The sequence below is a fragment of the Homo sapiens genome, chromosome 6 (assembly GCF_000001405.40).
Source record: "Homo sapiens chromosome 6, GRCh38.p14 Primary Assembly".
NCBI classification, from domain to species: Eukaryota; Metazoa; Chordata; class Mammalia; order Primates; family Hominidae; genus Homo; species Homo sapiens.
In genome coordinates, this window is record NC_000006.12 from 53612714 (window position 1) to 53631594 (window position 18881).

At 38.7% G+C, this 18881-nt stretch overlaps 1 long non-coding RNA gene across 1 annotated transcript, besides 1 other annotated feature; it reads left to right on the top strand.

Annotated features, from left to right (window-relative positions):
- Window positions 2698–3897: an enhancer, noted in NCBI's record as "P300/CBP strongly-dependent group 1 enhancer chr6:53480209-53481408 (GRCh37/hg19 assembly coordinates)". NCBI's record gives its function as "activates an origin of replication core promoter dependent on BRD2, BRD4, P300/CBP, MED14 and CDK7 cofactors, with strong dependence on P300/CBP, by STARR-seq in HCT116 cells {active_cell/tissue: HCT116}" and the evidence as "EXISTENCE:reporter gene assay evidence [ECO:0000049][PMID:35650434]".
- LINC01564 (long intergenic non-protein coding RNA 1564) lies at window positions 15667–18681 on the top strand. Its single transcript, NR_125841.1, has 3 exons — window positions 15667–15733; window positions 15862–15978; window positions 18300–18681. It is a non-coding gene; the product is annotated as a long intergenic non-protein coding RNA 1564 (long non-coding RNA).
- The last annotated feature ends 200 nt before the right edge of the window (window positions 18682–18881 follow it).

The following is an 18881-nucleotide window of genomic DNA, read 5'->3' on the forward strand; positions in this document are numbered from 1 at the left end:
TCTTTTTTCATTTCTGCCTGCATTCATTTAGTTGTTTATATGATTCCCCTAAACTTTCTGCCAAATTGTATATTTACATTGAAGTCATCTTTCTAACCACAGTTCTTCAATTCCCTATTTAAACCATTGGGTTTAGAGGTGTTTGAGAATTCAGAACTTTTCAAAGTTAGAAGATCCTATTTATTATGTAATATCCCAAGTAGGGTCTGGGGCAGTACTCTTTAATCAAACATGAATATTTCTGCAACATATAAACAATTTACACTAAATCATATGAACGAAGACTTCAAATAGCCTCTCCTTGGGTCACATCAGGTTTTTGTCACAAAATCAGTTACATAAACTTTTCTGTTTTCATAGTTTTCTTTATTTTGTTTTTATATTTTGCAATTGTGGATTTAAAAAGATGGACCTGTGTACAATAACAATATGAGAAGAAATTTTAGAAGTTCTTTAGTTTACCTTTTTTCTCAAAGTAGTAGTAAGGACAGCAAAAATTAATGTGAATGGGTATTTATCCAAAACTAAAATTTTTCAGTATTCCATAACTTTCTCAATATTTAACAAATAATACAGTCATAATATCATGTGAGGCTGAGGCTATCCTTATATCTGCTCATGCCAATTCTCATCCCCTTTCTTTCTAAAAAATAAAGGCTAAACTAAAAATATTTGCTTCACCACAGTGTTGTGCAGCTGGAGGGGCCGTATGATTCAGGAGTATGATCCCATGAGATAGAAATAGAGGGTTTCTGTGAAAGCTTTTGGTTTCCTAACACAGGTCTCTCCCCTTCCCAACTCCCGCTTTCTTCTTCTCCCTGTCTTGAATACAGATGTAATACCTGGAGATGCAGCAGCTATCTTGCAACAAAGAAGTAATAAGCATTAAGACAAAAGCCTCACTCTAAGGGTGGTGGAGGTAAAAAAACAGAAACAGCAGCCTGTTGAACCTCCTTGGACTGCCCCAGACTTCTTGTTTCGTGGGGCAAACTTACTGTTTAAGCCACTGTTTTTGAGTTTCTGTTATTTGTAGCTAAACATATTCCTAAATGCTATAGTATGTCACTACCTTTTTTTTCTCATTTATTTAAATTTATTTATTTATAGACAGGGTCTCACTTTGTTGCCCAGGCTAGATTGCAGTGCACAGTCATAGCTCACTGTAGCCTCGACCTGCTGGGCTCAAGGGATCCTCCTGCCTCTGCCTCCCAAGTAGCTGGGACTACAGGAGCATGCCACCACACCCACCCAGCTAATTTTTTAAATTTTCAGTAGTGTTCCAAACTTGTGTGAGAGTGTAACCACCCAATAGTTTCTTCCTGCCCACTGCACAGACAAAATCAATCCACCAAGGCCAAGTCATTGCAATAAAATTTAATTGACACGAGGCCAGCCATGCCACGTGGGAGATGGAGTTATTACTCAAATCAATCTCCCTGAAAATTTGGAGGCTAGAGTTTTTCAAGGGTGGTTTGGGGAGCCAGGGAGTCTGCTTCTGGGTAGGGCCACAGGACTGGCTAGTGGGGTTTGGCAGGCCTGGGTGGAGACGTTGGTTCATTGGTCGTCAGAAATGCAGAAACCTGAAAAGACATCTCAAAAGGCCAATCTTAGGTTCTATAATAGTGATGTTATCGGCGGGAGTAATTAGGGGAGTTGCAATTTTTGAGACCTCCAGACTAATGGCTGGTAATCGTTTAAGTCTACACCTTAGCAGAATTCAGGCTCCTCTCATCCTAATAACCTGGTGGATGGATTAGCTTTCCTTAGCTTTACAAAGTGGTATAATTTTGGGGAAGCACTATTACCATTTAAACTCTAAACTAAATGTCTCCCAAAGTTATCTTGGCATAAGCCCAGGAATAATTAAGGCCAGTTTGGAGGTTAAAGGCTAGATGGGGGTTGGTTAGTTCAGATCTCATTCACTGTAATAATTTCCTGATTGTTATAATTTTTGCAAAAGTGATCTCAAGAGAAGAAAACTATGTATATGCATATGCATTTTTGTGTATATGAGTAAATATTTCTGTAGAGATGAACAAAAAGGTGATACCTAGCCTGGGCAGCAAAGTGAGACTCTGTCCAAATAAAAAAGTTAAAAATTAGCTGGTTGTGGTAGTGTGTACCTGCAGTCCCTGCTACTCAGGAGGCTGAGGCAATAGGATGGCTTGAGCCCAGGAGTGTGAGGCTGCAGTGAGCTATGATTGCACCGCTGCACTCCAGCCTGGGCAACAGGGAGAAACCCCATCTAAAAAAAAAAAAAGAAAGGTAGTATCATTGGTTGCCTTTGGGTAGAGAAAACAGGTGGCTGAGGATCAGAGCCAGGAGTGAGGCATGGCTTTTGTACATTTTAAATGTATTTTTAAAAATTAAATATATGTATCTTACTGTATGATTTAAATTATATACATTTCAAGAACAGACAAAATGAATTACGGTGATTGAGGTCAGAATACTATTAACTCTATGGGGAGATATTTACTGGAAAGTGGCATGAGGCGGTCTTCTCCAGCTAAGAGATCAGAGATATCCTCTATCTTGAATTAGATGGTGGTAACATAGGTACATGTATATGGAAAAAAAACATCAACTCCATACTACTATTTGTGCACTTGATGTACCTCAGTACAGTTTTAGAGCATATACTTTGAATAATAAGAAAGAAAATTAAGATAATTATTAATATTCTGTGGGCTTCTTGTTCACTATCATCTTAGTTCAAATTTCAACAATTTCCCTAATTTAAAGTTTTTTTAAAAGAGTTTTCATGTGAGAATGTGTATGTATACATATGAATGTCAATGCAGAGGAGATTTGTGGCCAATCTGTGGGTTATTTCCTATATAAAATAACCCTTCATTGACCTCACTTCATTGTCCAGTTATCACCCCAGTTTTTTACAGTCACGCTTTTTCAGCACTGCTGTGTGTAGGTGGGTATATGTGCCTAAACTCAGGACTAGTATACACCCAGGTATGAATAGATCAAGTCACATACTTAAGGATTTGATGTTGGAGTTTGCTTCTATAGCAAATGAATTTCTAAATATTAGCTCAGTGCAGCTTTGATGAGTGCACGATGAATCAGCAAAAGCTTAAATAAGGGAGTGTGCACCAATGACAAATTCCCTTTGCAAGGGAACTTTGATCTCTACTGGATGACTACCTGCTTCTGCTGTGCACTCGCTCTCTCCCTCTTTGCTTCTAGCATAACAAATACGTTCCCCTGCATTGAACGTGTTTTCCTAACAACAGTGGCGAGATGTGACAAGGAAACTTGTTTGGAGCAACGTCTGAGTCACAATAGAATTAGTATCAGGTACAAATGACCACAAAGTACAGGTGCTGAGTCACAGTGATTTGGGATTCTCTAGTAAAAAGGACATGTGGAGAACTTAACTTTTATTTCCTCTCTTTTGCTGGTGTAAGTTTGGAGGTATCGTCACACAATCACCTTTCATTCACTAACGCTCACATTTTAGGTGCTTTTCCTTCTTACATAATAAAATAGCAAAGCACATAGGCCTGGGGTCCCTGGGGAAAGCCAAGTCTGCCTGGCTGCCTTGAGAACTCTGGACTGGATTTGACATGGAGGAGTTGGGGATTGTTGCTCAGGGATCAGAACAGTGAAACTCAGGTTAATGAGTAAAGAGTGAGAATATGTGTTTGTATGTTTCTTAATCCCATCTACTAGGTGATTACAAAACTCATTCAAAGTTGAACACAGTAGAGGTATTTCAAGTTGCTTTAGAGAGAGAATTACACACACACAAAAAATCTTTAGGAGCCAGACAACCACTGTGGACACCAATAAGAGAGCTCCAACATTGGTGAGGTATAGACCCGTCAAAGTTGTTGGTAATAACAGCAAGGTCCATCTGGCAAGATTGGTCACCTGTGGTGGAAGTGGTGGTGACAGCAGGGATGCAACTGCAGCAATCAATGATGATGATCTCACTAGGGTGGGGAGGTGTTAAAGGCATCTTCACAGCAGCACAGTGCCCAGAATGCCAAAGAGCAGCAGGATGGATCCAGCATCCTCTCCTGATAAAAGAGGGCTAGAAGACGGGAGGCTCCGGGAAGTCTACTGGGTGAGTATTAGTCCACTCTCACATTGCTATCAAGAAATACCTGATACTGGGTAATTTATAGAGAAAAAAGGTTTAATTGACTCACGGTTCTGCAAGCTGTCCAGGAAGCATAGCGGCTTCTGACTCTGGGGTGGCCTCAGGAAGCTTCCAATCATGGAAGAAGGCAAAGTAGGGGCAGGTATCTCACATGGCAGTAGCAGGAGGAAGAGAGCGAGGGGGAGGTGCCACACACTCTTTAACTACCAGATCTGACAGATAACTCATTGTTCCAAGGGCAGGACAAAGGGGATGCTGCTAAACCATTCATGAGAAATCTGCCCGCATGATCCAATCACCTCCCACCAGGCTCCACCTCCAACACCGGATATTACAATTCAACACAAAATTTGGACAGGAACACAGATCCAAACTATATCAGGGTGGAGCCCTACATCTAATGTTTCTTGCCCTTGCTCTTGGTAGCTAGTGTCTCATTGGACTCTAGTGTCTGCTTGTTCTATTGGATCAGGAGCTCCTTGAGGGGAGGAGCCATATTAAATTCATCTCTGTACCCCTAGTGTTTAGCAGTGTTTTATTGAGTTAGTAAATAAATCCATCTCTATTCTTTATCAAAACTCTGAGCTGTGATGAAAAAGTCACTGTCTCCACCTGTGCTTTGGATCTGTCAGTAGGGCCTTTGCTTCTACAGTAACATCATCCTACACAGAGTAAACACCTACTGAGTGCTGATTATGCCTGCTGTGGTTACTACAATCTCTTAAGTTTGCCTTTAAGCTTTGTATGTAAAATTTTTAATTGCTTTGCTATTTTAATCTGATCACATTCCCCTGGTTCCTCCCTTTTAACTTTAAGCATATGCAATGTGCCCGTTTGCACAACAGTCTGAAGTTTTATTTCTATGATTCCTCCTTTTCTGCACAAATGTTCATGTTTCTCATACTTCCTATTACTTCTGAACATTTTCCTAATGACAGAAGTCATAGAAGCACTCCTTAAAAGTTGATTTTTTGTTTGTTTGTTTGTTTGTTTGTTTTGAGACATTCTGCCACCCAGGTTGGAGTGCAGTGGCATGATCATGGCTCACTGCAGCCTCGACCTCCTGGGCTCAGGTGATCCTCCCACCGAAGCCTCCTGAGTAGCCGGGACTACAGGCACCTGCCACCACACCCAGCTATTTTTTGTATTTTTTGTAGAGATGAGGTTTCACTATGTTGCCAAGGCTGGTCTAGAGCTTCTGGGCTCAAGCAATCTGCCCACCTCAGCCTCCCAAAATGTTAGAATTATAAGCAAGAGCCACTGTACCCAGCCGAGAGCTGATTTTATATTAATATCTACAGCTCTGGTTAGACACAGTCTCAGGGAATTTGTGGCCAGTCTGTAGTGTTGTCTCCTTACTTAAAAAATACTCCTTCCTTGACCTCACTTCAGTGTCTAATTATAATTTCATTTTCTACATCTATCCATGAAAAAAATGTATAGAGTGGGGGGAAATCTACCTTTCCACCTCCATTTCCTCATCATCCACTTCCACCTGAACTTGCTGCCACCTGACTTCAGCTTCACCACCTGTGAACACATCACTTTCTCTAAAGCCTCCCACGCTTTCCTTCTGACCTTGAGCCAGTGGGCTGTTTTCATACTTCTCTTTCATAGTTACTTAGTTGCGTTAACATTGTCAAAAAGTAAAACAAAACTCCCAAGCCTAAAGCCTCCCCTGCTTTGAGACAGTCTCCCCATCCTGACACCTGTGACCCTGAGTTCATCTGCATTATTCCAACCCATCTGGTGAATGAGTTAATGCTGATTTTTGATCATCCAACATGGTGTCAGCCTCCTTCAGCCTTCCAAGGTGAGCCTATGAATTTCCTCCCTTCTAAGTCCACATACGTTTGTTTCCTCCCACTCTGCATCTTTACCCCATTCATGGCACTCTTAACTCCACATAGCCCCTTAGTTTTCTAAACCCATTTAAAACCTTACACCATCAAGGAGAAGCATAGCTTCTTAAACTTTCCCTACTGTAATGGCTTCTCAGGGTTTGTGTGAACAGTGGGGGTTTTTAATTTTTTGGTATAATACTAATTTATCAACACATGTATACTTCTTGGTGAATATGCTTAAGGTTATTTTTTTCATGAGTGTATATTGCTCCCCGAGATCCTTTCTTGCATTTGGGTTTTTTCCAAAATGCTTAATATGGTCCTCCATATGCAGAGGACACTAGCTAAATATTGGTTAAAGTGGGTAACAATTAAAAATGTAATACTCCTGCCAGCTGAGTAAATACTTAACTTGCTTAATATGACCGTGACAATTTGTCCAGACACTGCCATTTCCTGCTTTCAGGGCACTGTTGTCTGTTGCTAACTTATTGCTCCTCTGGGTCTCCTTTTCCTACCTGGTTCAGATGTAGAATGTGGGGCTTACAAAGTTAGAGGAGGACATTTTCTTATGGGTTTTGTTACCTATACCAGTAAGTTAGAAGGAAAAACTCACTAAGGAAAAACCAAACCTAACCATTTTTTACACAGCCAACACAGAGCATTTCACCTCTAGTCTCCAAAATATATAGGGATTTCTCCCCACCAGCAACCAATAAATTCCCTAGCAGATATCAGCTATGTGTACTATAATTTAATTCAATTCTGACACTATCTATCTGGAGATAGCATCAGATCCCACAGAATAAGGGTTCTACCCCACAGGACTGCCCCCACTTCAGAGGCCGATCACGAGTTACAGGTTGTCACCTCTGCTTCTGCTGATCAGCTATAAGTCAAGATTCCCACTACTGTCTCCTTGGGTTCAATTAATTTGCTAGGATGACTTACACAACTCAGAGGAACACCTATTTTTGTTTACTGGTTTATTATAAAGGATACTAAAAAAGATACAGATGAACAGCCAGGAGGAAGAGATGCATAGGCAAGGCATGTGGGAAGGGGCATGGAGCTTCCATGCCCTCTCTGCATGTGCCACCCTCCAGGACTTTCCACACGTTCAGCTATCCAGAAGCTCCTGAACCTGGTCATTTTGAGTTTTTATGAAGGCTTCATCATGTAGGCATGATTGATTAAGTCATGAGCCATTGGTCAGCCCCTGTTTCTTCCCTGGAGGTGAAGGTTGATTGGTGGGACTTTAAGTCCCAACCGTCTAATCATGCCTTGGTCTTTCTGGTGACCAGCCCCCATACGGAAGCTACTTAGGGGTCCCTAGGCATCAGTAATCTCCACAGCATATCAAAGACACTCATCACTTTGGAGATTCCCAAGGGTTTTAGAAGCTGTATGTCAAGAAACAGGAGCAAGCCCAAATACATATTTCATAATATCATAACCATGTGACAACTTATCATAAAGACCAGGTACTCACTTACCAGACTGAATGCCTGTAAGAGTTGATGAAGTTTACTTGAGCGGAGAAGGAACTGATGGAAGCCTCTCGTGCCAGACAGGTTGAAGTTCAGGTTTGCCATACTCTAGTAGTATGATTTTGGCAAAGTTACTTAACTTCTCTGTGCCTCAGTTTCTTGTGCCAATGAAAGGAGATTGAGAAAGTGAATGGGGCAAAATACTAACATTTGATGAATCTGGGTAAAGGGTATACAGGCTTCTATCTACTATTTTTGTAACTTTTCTATAAATTTGAAATTATTTCAAAATAAAAAGTAAAAAAAATACTCTTGTGACTTGGAGACTCAATTTTTCCATTTGCAAGATAGTTGAGTTTTCACATATAGTCTTAAAGAATGATGCTAACATTTTCCGAGTGGCAAACTGGGACATTTTGTCTGAGGAATCTCTTTAAATTTTTTAAAGATAAAAGTCTTTCAAAGATTATAAGTTAAAGCACATTAATAAACAGACTTTTTAAAGAAGACTAAAATATATGACAAGAAATAAAAATGTAATAAACTACCTTTATTGGTTAATAAAAGACTTGAATTTTAAAGTCAGCAGTATATTGATCCACTAGTATTGTTTGAAGAACTCAGTTTGCTCAATAACGAATTTTTTTCCCCAAATTTCATTGCAAATCTTCATTGAAATTGAATTATCATTGTTGACACCTCCAATTCATCCAAAGTTCTTAACCTAACAATATTGCTTCTCAATGTGCCCAGAAGTGAAAAGACAAAATCATGTGTTTTTATTAGGTATGAAATATTCACATTCACAGAATAAAAATCTGTAAGTAAATTTTATCATCTCTAATACAAGGAGATTTTATCATCTCCTTTTGTGTGTTACACTCAGCTAGTAAGTTCTCTTTAAAATACAGTTTTGTGATACAAAGTTAATTTTAAAACCATATTACCAAATAGCAGAGAATGTCAAAAACATGATAAGTTGGCTTTCAGTTTAAAATGGAAATGTACTCCATTGCAACTTTTCCTAATTTTATACAGAGTCATGAAGACACTGAAAAGTGATGAATCCACATAACCATGACACTGGAAATGAAGTTTGAGTGGCAGTCAGAATCTGGGAGGAAGCATTGCTAAGTGAAAATCTTATGGAGCTTGACTAAAAATCCCTGTCAGGAACCGTCAAAAGCTGTGTCCCTGACATGAAAAATCTTGCTGGAAGTTGAGAGAGGTTTATGCCTACTCCGTGATCCGGGAACACAAGACCTTTACCAACCAAAAAAGTGGATAGCTGTTCTTCTGCTGTGAAGGTTAATAAAGGTAAACATTATAATGGCCAGGGCTGGGGTTGAGGCAGAAAGAAGGAAGAAGGAAAGAAAGAAAGAGACAAAGGTAATAATATTAGTAAAGGTAAATAATGTTAGTGTCTCTCAAAACAAAAATAATTTGACAGAAAAAAGAATCATTTTATATTGATAAAAGATGTAATCCATAAAATAGATGTAAAATTCATGAGCTTCTATAGTATTACAATCTTTAAATGGAAAATTGACAGAAATATAATTGTTATAAAAGACATTAAAATATTTTTCTCAAGATTTGGGAAAGACTAAAAAGTAAAACAAGATTGAATGAGTAGGCAGATCTTGAATTTTGTATTTTAAAAGTGGAGAATATACCTTTTCATGCAACCATGGATCATTTGCAGTAGCTGATCATACCACTGGGACACAGAGAAAATTTTACTATGTAATAAAAATGAGAACATGTAGAAGCCACATTCATATGATCAAAACTAACATACACTAAGAAAAGTTTAAACAAAGTCTTCAATCCATGAGTTATCTAACAATTTCTAAAATGAAGTCAGAGTATTTGTTTTTGAAACTTTAAAGTTTATATGTAATCTATAAGACAATATTCATAACAACACTTTATAACAACAAAATGGTGGAAATAACCCAAATGTTTGTTGGTAGAACATACCTATCAATGGAGAACTGTGCAACTATAAATGAGGAGTCTCCAAATATGTTTCTATTTTTATATACTCTGCAGAATGCATTGTTATATGAAAAAAGCAAAAATGGAGGTAAATATACAATGTGCTACCATTTATCCAAAACAGGTAACAAGAATATGAATATACATATATTAAAAATCACAACAGTCCAGGAGTGGTGGCTTATGCCTGAAATCCCAGCACTTTGGGAGATGGAGGTGGAGGATCATTTAAGCCCAGGAGTTTGAGACTAGGCTAAGCAACAGAGTGAGACATTGTCTCTACAAAAAAAAAAAAAAAAAAAAAGTTAGCTGGGCATGGTGGCATGCACCTGTGGTCCTAGCTATTTGGGAGGCTGAGGTGGGAGAATCACTTGAGCCCAGGAGGTCATGGCTGCAGTGAGCTGGGATCATGCCACTACACTCCAGCCTGGGTGACAGAGCAAGACCCTGTCTCAAAACAACAAAAACAACAAAACAAGGGTATAACAAAACAAACAAAACTGAACAAAAATTAAAAATTGTTTACCTATATGGGAACGGAGTAGAGAAAACATGGATTAAAAACAAAACTTCCTGATTATACCTTGTTTTGTAAGTTTGACTTTGGAATGGTGCAAAGATTTTACATAATTATCAAATCAAATTAACAAAAAATTTCTAAAAACTGAAAGGAAAATAAAAATTACTGTATTGAACTAGTTGCTTAACTACACAGAGAGGAACTATATTAAGTAACTTTAAAAAAACAACAGAGATTTAACATACAAACCTAGTGGGATATACCCTAAGAATAAAAAAAAATGCAAATACACTTTATGCCACTTTCAATTATCATGCTGTTTATAATAATACTGGCACTGCTATTCTGAAACTATGGTATATATTACAGGATATGGCAAATAAGTACTTATATTGTTAAGAACTAAGTTGTAAGTATGAGAAAAAAATATAAAAGCGAAGAAGCGCAAACCCTATAATCCTAAACTTGAATTGAAAACATCAGTATGAGCTCATGATATGTTTTCTCTTAACAAAACAAAATAACAACTTATTTCCTAACTCTGCCTGCTAAAAAGGCCTAGAAACAGTGACCAGCTCAGCAGCAATGAGTTCCCATAACACCCAGACTGTAGTTTCTAATACAATTTTTCACTAAAAGGAATCCATATTCTTGGAAAGTCAGCTAATTTGAAGACTGGGGAGCAAAAAATTCAAGAAGGCCTTTATCTTGGTTCTTTTGTGCTGTTATAACAAAGTACCTGAGACTGGGCAATTTATAAAAATCACAACTTTATTTCTCACAATTCTGGAGGCTAAAAGTTCAAGAATAAGGCACCAGCAAGTTCAGTGTCTAGAAAGGACCCAGCGTTTGCTTCGAAGATGGCGCCTTTCTGCTGCATTCTCTGAAGAGGATGGATGCTGTGTCCTCACATTGCAGAAGTCAGAAGGGGAAAAAGGGCCTAAGCTAGTTCCCTGTAGCCTTTTTGCAAGGTACTAATCCATGTCTCGTGGCTGAATCACTTCCCCAAAAGTCTTAACTCCCAACATCACCACAATAGAGATTAAATTTCAACACATGAATTTTGTGAGAACACATTGAAACCACAGCAGTCTTGGAACACATTGTCACACCACAAAGCAAGAACATTTCATTGACCACTAAAGTCGTGTCAGAAAGGACTCAGAATCCAATTTGAATATCTGGCCAAACTTCAGTGGCCAAAAAAGAGACAATTTGAATCAGGGATTGAGACATGGCAGCTTTGTTTAAATCCATGCATTCATAAAAGAACTCTTGGTCACCTATAGAGGGTTCTGGGAAATGAGCTCATTATTTTGAGAACTGGTAAATACAAGGAAAGGATCAAATGTGAATCCTACCTTTCCTGTACTAACTGTACCACAGAGTAACCAAATAGTTGACAAAGGAAGTTTCTCTATTATGAAGTATTCTTGCTAATACATGATTAAGGAATGAGAATTCGAGTATTTGCACATTCGAATGAAATAGTGGATTTAGGCTAAATGTCTAACATCACACTAAGAGAAACAACTGGGCGCCTGCTAACAAAAGTCCTGTCACTATCACCAATGGTGTCTTCTTGCAAAAAATTCCAATTATAAGTGATCAAATTACCTATTAGGGAGTGAGGGCACAGGTAATGCAGAAGACAGCAAACATATGAACAATAGACACCACATGGATGCAATTAGCAAAATCCACAATTCTGGAAATTCTGCAGGGCAAACTGACCTAGTTTCTTCACCATATACATGGCAAGGAGGGACTAGGGGGAGGAAGTGGCAGATGCTCTTGGTGCCCACCCATATCCTCTGTGCCCTTCACTGTGCTCAGCCTTGCTCCCAACTGTCAGTAGCTGCCTTTTGGTGCCTAAGAGCTTTTTTTTTTTTTTCTCCTGAACTGCAGAACGCCAGAAGTGCCAAGCAATTAACAACCCCAGAAGCAACCCTTAACCAATGATTAAATAAAGTGGATGATTACATACCCAAGCTCCTTCAACTCCCAGGGACATAATTCTGAGGTGGGTGTATGTTTATCCCTTTTTCAAGAACTTCCCCGAAGGATTAAGCTTCAGTCACCCACTGGTAAATTGCTTAACAGCTCAACCTCTATGGGTTTGGGTTGCTTTTTCTTGTATCACATGCTGTCTCCTTTATGGTGTACACTGCACTTTCCAAATTGACTACCTATACTTGAATCCTGTCTTAGATGTATTTCTGGAGGAACTCAAACTAAGGCAGATGGGGAACTATAGATTAAATGAAACTTAAGAGATGTCAACCAACTGCAAAGTGTGGAGCTGAGCAAAAAACAAAACAAAACAAAACAAACAAAAAAACTGTTCAAAAAGTTTATGAGACAATCAGGGATATTTAAATACTGACTGAATATTTTATAACATTTAGAAATTATTGGGGTTTTTAGGTGGCATAATACTGATAGGCTTATCTCTAAACCCATGATCAAATATTGGATATTTATAGATGAAATGTTAGGATGTCTGGGATTTGCTTTCAAATTAATATGGAGTGGAGTTGTGATTGGTGATGAGTTGACAATTATTAAAACTGGGCACTAGTATGTGAGACTTTATGATACCATTCTGTCCACTTTTGTAGATGTTGGAAATTTTCCCTAATTAGATACAAAAATGAAAAAAGCTGAAAGCTCTATGGGGATTGTTAATAACTATGTTCTTAGTGCTTAACAGTGTTCAGTACATAGTCAACAAAGAAGCACTCAAAACACTATTCATTGAACAACTGTTTTGTCTTATGTTGGGGATACCAAGGCAAATATTGTTGACATTGACATTTTTAGCTGACATACTGGAAATCTTACCAAGAGTTTTATACAGACTAGAGGAAAAAAATCATTTTATCAATTAGTACAATGTCGGGTTCAAAAAATGTTATACTAGGTCTACTTCTAACTAAAGTATTTTTCAGCTTGTGATTCATCACCGTCTGTGTCTTGAAGGTATATTTGAGTTAACATATATTTTATTAGAATGTGCTGTTTTTTGCCAAAATGCTGGAATTTCTGGGATACTTTGATGATTCAGTTGGACAGAATATGACACTGAATATTTGAAAGCAGGACTTGGTTAGAAAATCTAAGATTGTGAGTGCCGAATTTACCTAGTAGATATATGTTTCTGAAATTTACAAGGTAACTGCTTTTGTTGGGACCAAAACCACACAGCCAATAAAACTAAAACTGTACTGGGAAAATCATTTAAATAAAAGAATAGTATATTAAGTTGGAGGGTAGGGTATATTTGAAGTCTTAGAGGCATGTAAACAGGAACTTGCAAGAAATTCCAGCAGAAATTTTCCACTTTAAAAAATATAGATAAAGCTGGGCACAGTAGGGCATGTCTGTAGTCCCAGCTACTTGGGAGGCTATGGCAGGAGGATCACTTGAGGCCAGGAGTTCAAGGCTGTAATACGCCTAGATTGTACCTGTGAATAGCCACTGCACTCCAGCCTGGGCAACATAGCAAGATTCCATCTCTAAAAAAATATAAATTTGATATAGATGTATCTATATATCTGTCTCTAAAAAATTCTGTCACTTCCATGAGTTCACATTATTGCTGAGATTTATTTTCTTGCAAGATTTTCTAATAACATGATAGTCCTTGTTTTCAAGCTGTCAGGTAGTAAAACAGTAATTTAATTTGGCAATAACATATGACATTCTAAGAAGACGCATTAGAAGGTTTTTAAGAAGTGTACTGAAATATTTTTGGAATGTCCTTCAAACAGGCAAAGTTTAAACTGGAAAGAGCAAAAAGTTAAATATTATATATTTATAAAAAGTCAAACTATTTTTTCCTTACCTGGTTAAAAAGGTGTTACCAAGGTCGCAAAATAGCTTTGTATATTAAAAATTTTTTTTATTGGATTAATTCCTAGTTGTAGTTTAGCTACTTATTTTTGTTTTTCATTTATCTTTTTCACCTCTATGTAGCTTATGTTATTAAGTTATGTTATTAAGTTTTTAAATAAAACCTAGGAGGCTTCTTAATTCTTTATGAAAAATTCTGTGAGAATAACTAGCTAAATTTTAAAACTACAACCAAATAAGATTGACATAATAATATGCATATACATTGCTCTTCTCACATTAACAATAATAGATTTGTATCTTCTAAGATATCTCTGAGAATAAAATTTCCAGCCATATCATCAGCTAAATTAACTCAAATTTACTATCTGGATTTGGCTGTTTCACTTGTAGGTTAAAAGTTAAAAGGTTTGCTATTTCTTGGAATCAAAGGTTATTTAATGAAAGAAGATTAATTTCAATAAATGATGCATTTAAAGTTTTTTCCAACAAAGAGTGTAAGAGATTTATCACAGGTTCTAAATAACAAATTTAATTTCCCTAACATGTTAAGGAGAATTTTGGTTCCCGCAGAGGACTGAGTGGACTAATCATTTATAATAAGACTGACTTTAAACTTCCTTTTAACTTGACAGTAGTTAATTCTAACTTTATTAAATTAGAATCCCCATTAATTCACCCATTTTTCTTTCACCAATTTTGTTTTACAATTAAGGTTTATCTGCAGAGTTCTGTTTTGACCATTATGCTGAAAGTGCTGAGTTCTGCTGTTTGCCTTCCTTCAGCCTTTCTGGCTGAATGGCTTCCTGAATCTTCTCAGAGGTTTCCCTCTGAGCCCATGATGGGGTTCTAAAAGCACATTCTGTTCATGTACTGGGATAGTGGGATGTGAGGGCAGAGAAGTTCTTCCTGAGCATGAGTCCTTCATCCTCTACCCACTGTTTTATAAACCTGTCTCAAATTCCATGCACTTTTGGACCCAGTTACTTGAACTCTCAGGAGCAGGTACTTTGTCACCTCCAGAGGGAAGGCCAGCATCCTCCTAGCGGGTACTGCTGTGTGCTTGCCCCTGAGCCAGGAGCTTTGCATTTGCTCTCTCATTTGATCCCCTCAACAACCCTAGTAGTGAGGAAATATCTATTTCATACATGAGGAAATTGAGGCCCAGAGAAGGCACTGGCTGCTTAGCTGTGTGCTGTCACCCTGTTGAAACCAACGCCTCCTGCCTACACTGCCACTGCCTGTATAAACTGGTGCCACCCACGGTTATATGGCAGAAAGCAGTGCTTCGAGAAAATGGACCAGCAACCGCCATGTGTTGAACAGGCTATGGGCAGGAGGAAATAAAGCAGTTATAGCACCTGGGGGTGGAAGTCAAGGCAGTAACCAAAATAAAGTGGGAGCACGGAAAAAAGCTGGGGAAATAAAAAGGTTCAAATTTCACATTTCCTCATGAAGTCCAGATCAAGTTGGAGCTTGTTTAATAGCAGAAATTAGGCAGCCAGACCTGTCTGTAGGGCAAAGAAATTTTTGTTGAAAAGCCCAGCAAGTATTTACTCCGCTGTAACAGAGTCTTTTTCTAACTCCAGGATCTTTTCTTTGTGTGCTCTGTAGAATGAAGTGTGCTTGTTTTGGTGGGGATACATTTACACAGTTCTCCATGTTTTGTTTCATCTTTCCTCTCCGTGTTGTTGCTCTCTTTTTCCTTTGCTCTATCCAAAGATATCAGCCAAAGAAGCCAAGAAAAATGTTATCTTTACTTTAGAATTAGGGATTTCAGATATGGGTAGATGGCTCTGTTAGGCAGAAGTGTCAGAGCTGGTTATAGGAAAACCAGGCGGCACATACATGATCCCAGACACCGAAGTAACCTCTGTCTCACTCCTCCACTTCCAGCAAGGTATTGTGCTCTGAGGGGCTGATGAGAGAAGGTAGATTATGGGTCTGCCAAGGCTTTTTACTGGTCTCTGTTTATCTTTTTCTGAGTGCCAATTCAGCATGATCTAGACCAGGATCATTTGTTTGCAGGGATGGAAAACAAACTGAAACTGGCTCAAGTGAATGCTCACTGGAAGGCTTACTGGAAAACTTACTGGAAGGATGTGAGGACATGTTCGGGAATCTATTTGCAGAAAACATATTCAGGTATACTGGGAGCTCTCCCTCTCTCACATTGTCTCCCTCACTGAAACCAGGATTGCTGTCTATTTCCTTGGGGCTGTTGCTGTCATGCTGTCTTACTAACTGTAGTGTTGTGTTAGCTACACGACTGCTCAAGTTTATTTTTTTGAAAAATTGTGTTCCATTTAGCCAGGATGATGCAAGTTGTTTCAAGAAAGGCTATAAAATGCTTGCAATAAAAGTCATGTTCATTCACATTCATTAGGAAAAAATGAAATAAATCTATGCTGCATAACTTTTTTCATGCCAAGTGCGGGAGTGGAGGTTGTCAAATCAAGACTGGATCATCAAGTACATAATGATAGGGTGCCAAAATTCCAAGGAGGTTGGGAGTCACTGTTGTTGAGGGTGGTCAAAGAATTTGTTTCCCCACAAGGCATGTGGCTTTGGGCCAGCACACCTCATAATTCGTTCTCTTCTATTTCCCACATCCGTCTTATAATGTCTCAATTTAACCAGGGGAATATGGAGCGTGAACTCTTTCTATTTACCCTTTTAACATCCAGGTAGATATTTCTGAGATACATGGCAATGTATCAGGGTTGAGTTTGCTGCTCTGGTTCTTATCCTTTTTTTTTGAGACAGGTTCTTGCTCTGTTGCCCAGGCTGGAATGCAGTGGTGCAATCTCAGCTCACTGCAGACTCTGCCTCTGCCTCTTAAGTTTAAGTGATCCTCGTGCCTCAGCCTCCTGAGTAGCTGAGATTACCGGCACCTGCCATTGTGCCCAGCTAATTTTTGTATTTTTAATAATGGTGAGGTTTCACCATGTTGCCCAGGCTGGTCTCGAACTCCTGGCCTCAAGTGATCCACTTGCTTTGGCCTCCCAAAGTGCCGGGATTACAGGTATGAGCCACCATGCCTAGCCTCTGGTTCTTATCCTTTTGAAAGTCTTAAAGTCTCCTCTTCATTCATGTATCAAATATTTGATGAAATATTTGACCAGATGTCAGAGTCTAGAACATCAGACCGAGATAGTAAACCAGTGGGTCGTAAATAGCTACATGAAGGGCATAGAATCTAAACAGATCCAGAGTGAGAGATTAAGGTCAAGGAACTGGAAGGCATATCTGGATTTATTTATTTTTTTTAAAAAAATACAGTATTTGTTTGGATGGAGAATGGAAATAGAACTTGCAGTTTTGGTTCTCTGCAATGCAGGTTGGCCACTGCTATTGCTGTAACTCTGTCCTATTGTCCTACCCATACTACTGTTGTAACTTCCATAAGGTGGGACCTGATGAATCACGCACACTTCCAGAGTGTTTGGTCAGGGTGACCCTGGGTGCAGCAAGGATGGCCAATGCTGTTGGCATCAAAAGGCCAAGAGATGACTTTGGTCAGATTAGATAAAGACCATTTAGGGCCATGGAGATATGGAAGCAATTTTCTTCTTTCCTAGAAGATGATGCAATAGATGACAATAAGCATTTGGGTGAATCTCTCCAGCCAGGTTTGAAGGCAGTTTGTGTCACGTAGTGGGTGGGTGGATGGGGAAAGTTAGTTCTAATTACTATTCCAGGGCCCTACATCCAGAACCTTTCCATTTTAAGACAAGAGGGGGACTAACATTCCCAGCTCATTCGCAAATGACTCAAGAGAATGGGACAGAGGAAAGGGAGATACCATTTTTAATTCCCCCTGGAGGAGTCCTAATGTCCCATTAGTGTTTCAACTGTTTGGTCTAATTCAGGTATGAAGTACAGTGGTTTGTTTGTTTGTTTGTTTGTTTTGTTTTTTGTTTTTCATAAAATTGGTTGATTGATTAATAAATTGCTTGCTGGGCATTGGGGAACTATACATGAAAATTATATGACTTTAACCCTGAAGGAGCTCAGAATCTAATGCGGAAGATGGATATTTATGATATATAACAAGGGCAACAATAAATCTAGTACAAGATATGAGGAATCTTCCAGGCTTTGTATTGGACAAAATGTCTCTGGGATGTCCTTTACCTGGAGGCATATATGGGCCCAATGCCAGCTTCAGCTATTCTAAAAGAGACCTGAGTCTAAAGATCACACATTATCTCATATCAGGAGCCATGCTCACTGACTGAAATTTCCCAGTGGCCACCAAGCTATCATTATGGTCCCTATAGTCCCACTAATTATTATCCATCCCACTTTGCTACTTCTGGATCGGACACTTGACAGATAATGTCAGGGACAGTATAGCGTGTGTTTTGCCCAAATGATCTTTAAGACAGCCTCGTTCCCAGTCTGGCGGTTGTGTGGGAATCAGCATCTTCACTTCCTGATTTCTATTACACTCCTTCCTACAGCCCTGTCCACCACAGCCAGCTGGCTGAAGAGCTCAAAAGGCAAGAAATCAGCAAGAGAGAGAGATGAAGCATGAGAAATGAGCAAAAAACACCCAGCACATCATAATCTTGGACAGTTTAGCAGTACATGAAAATAGATGGTCCTCGCCCCAAGGGACTGCAGTAACCCTGAATAAACAGGATGTCTCTCACTTTTAGCAGTTCTTTCTGTGCTAGTATTGGGGAAATATATTTTTGGCTGCATGCAAAATGGTAAAAGACATCTATTAAGAAAATGAAAACAATGCTTCTGTTTTAGACGAAGCTTTTGAAGGTTTAAGGATCACCTATTTATTGACAAAATTGTTTCCGTGGCTTAAAAATAAAATACAAACAAATACTACAGGTATTCTTGCCTTCTCATTCTACTTAAAATCACATTTCCAAAGACTTTCTTCTCTACTTAAAAACAGGAATTAAGAAATACTCAAAAGAGATCCTAGACAAAACTAACATTTCAGCAACCAAAGATAAATCATGCTTTTAGAGGAAGATGCTAGGTTCTAGAATCTCTCTGAACACCGTGTAGCACTAAGAAACTAC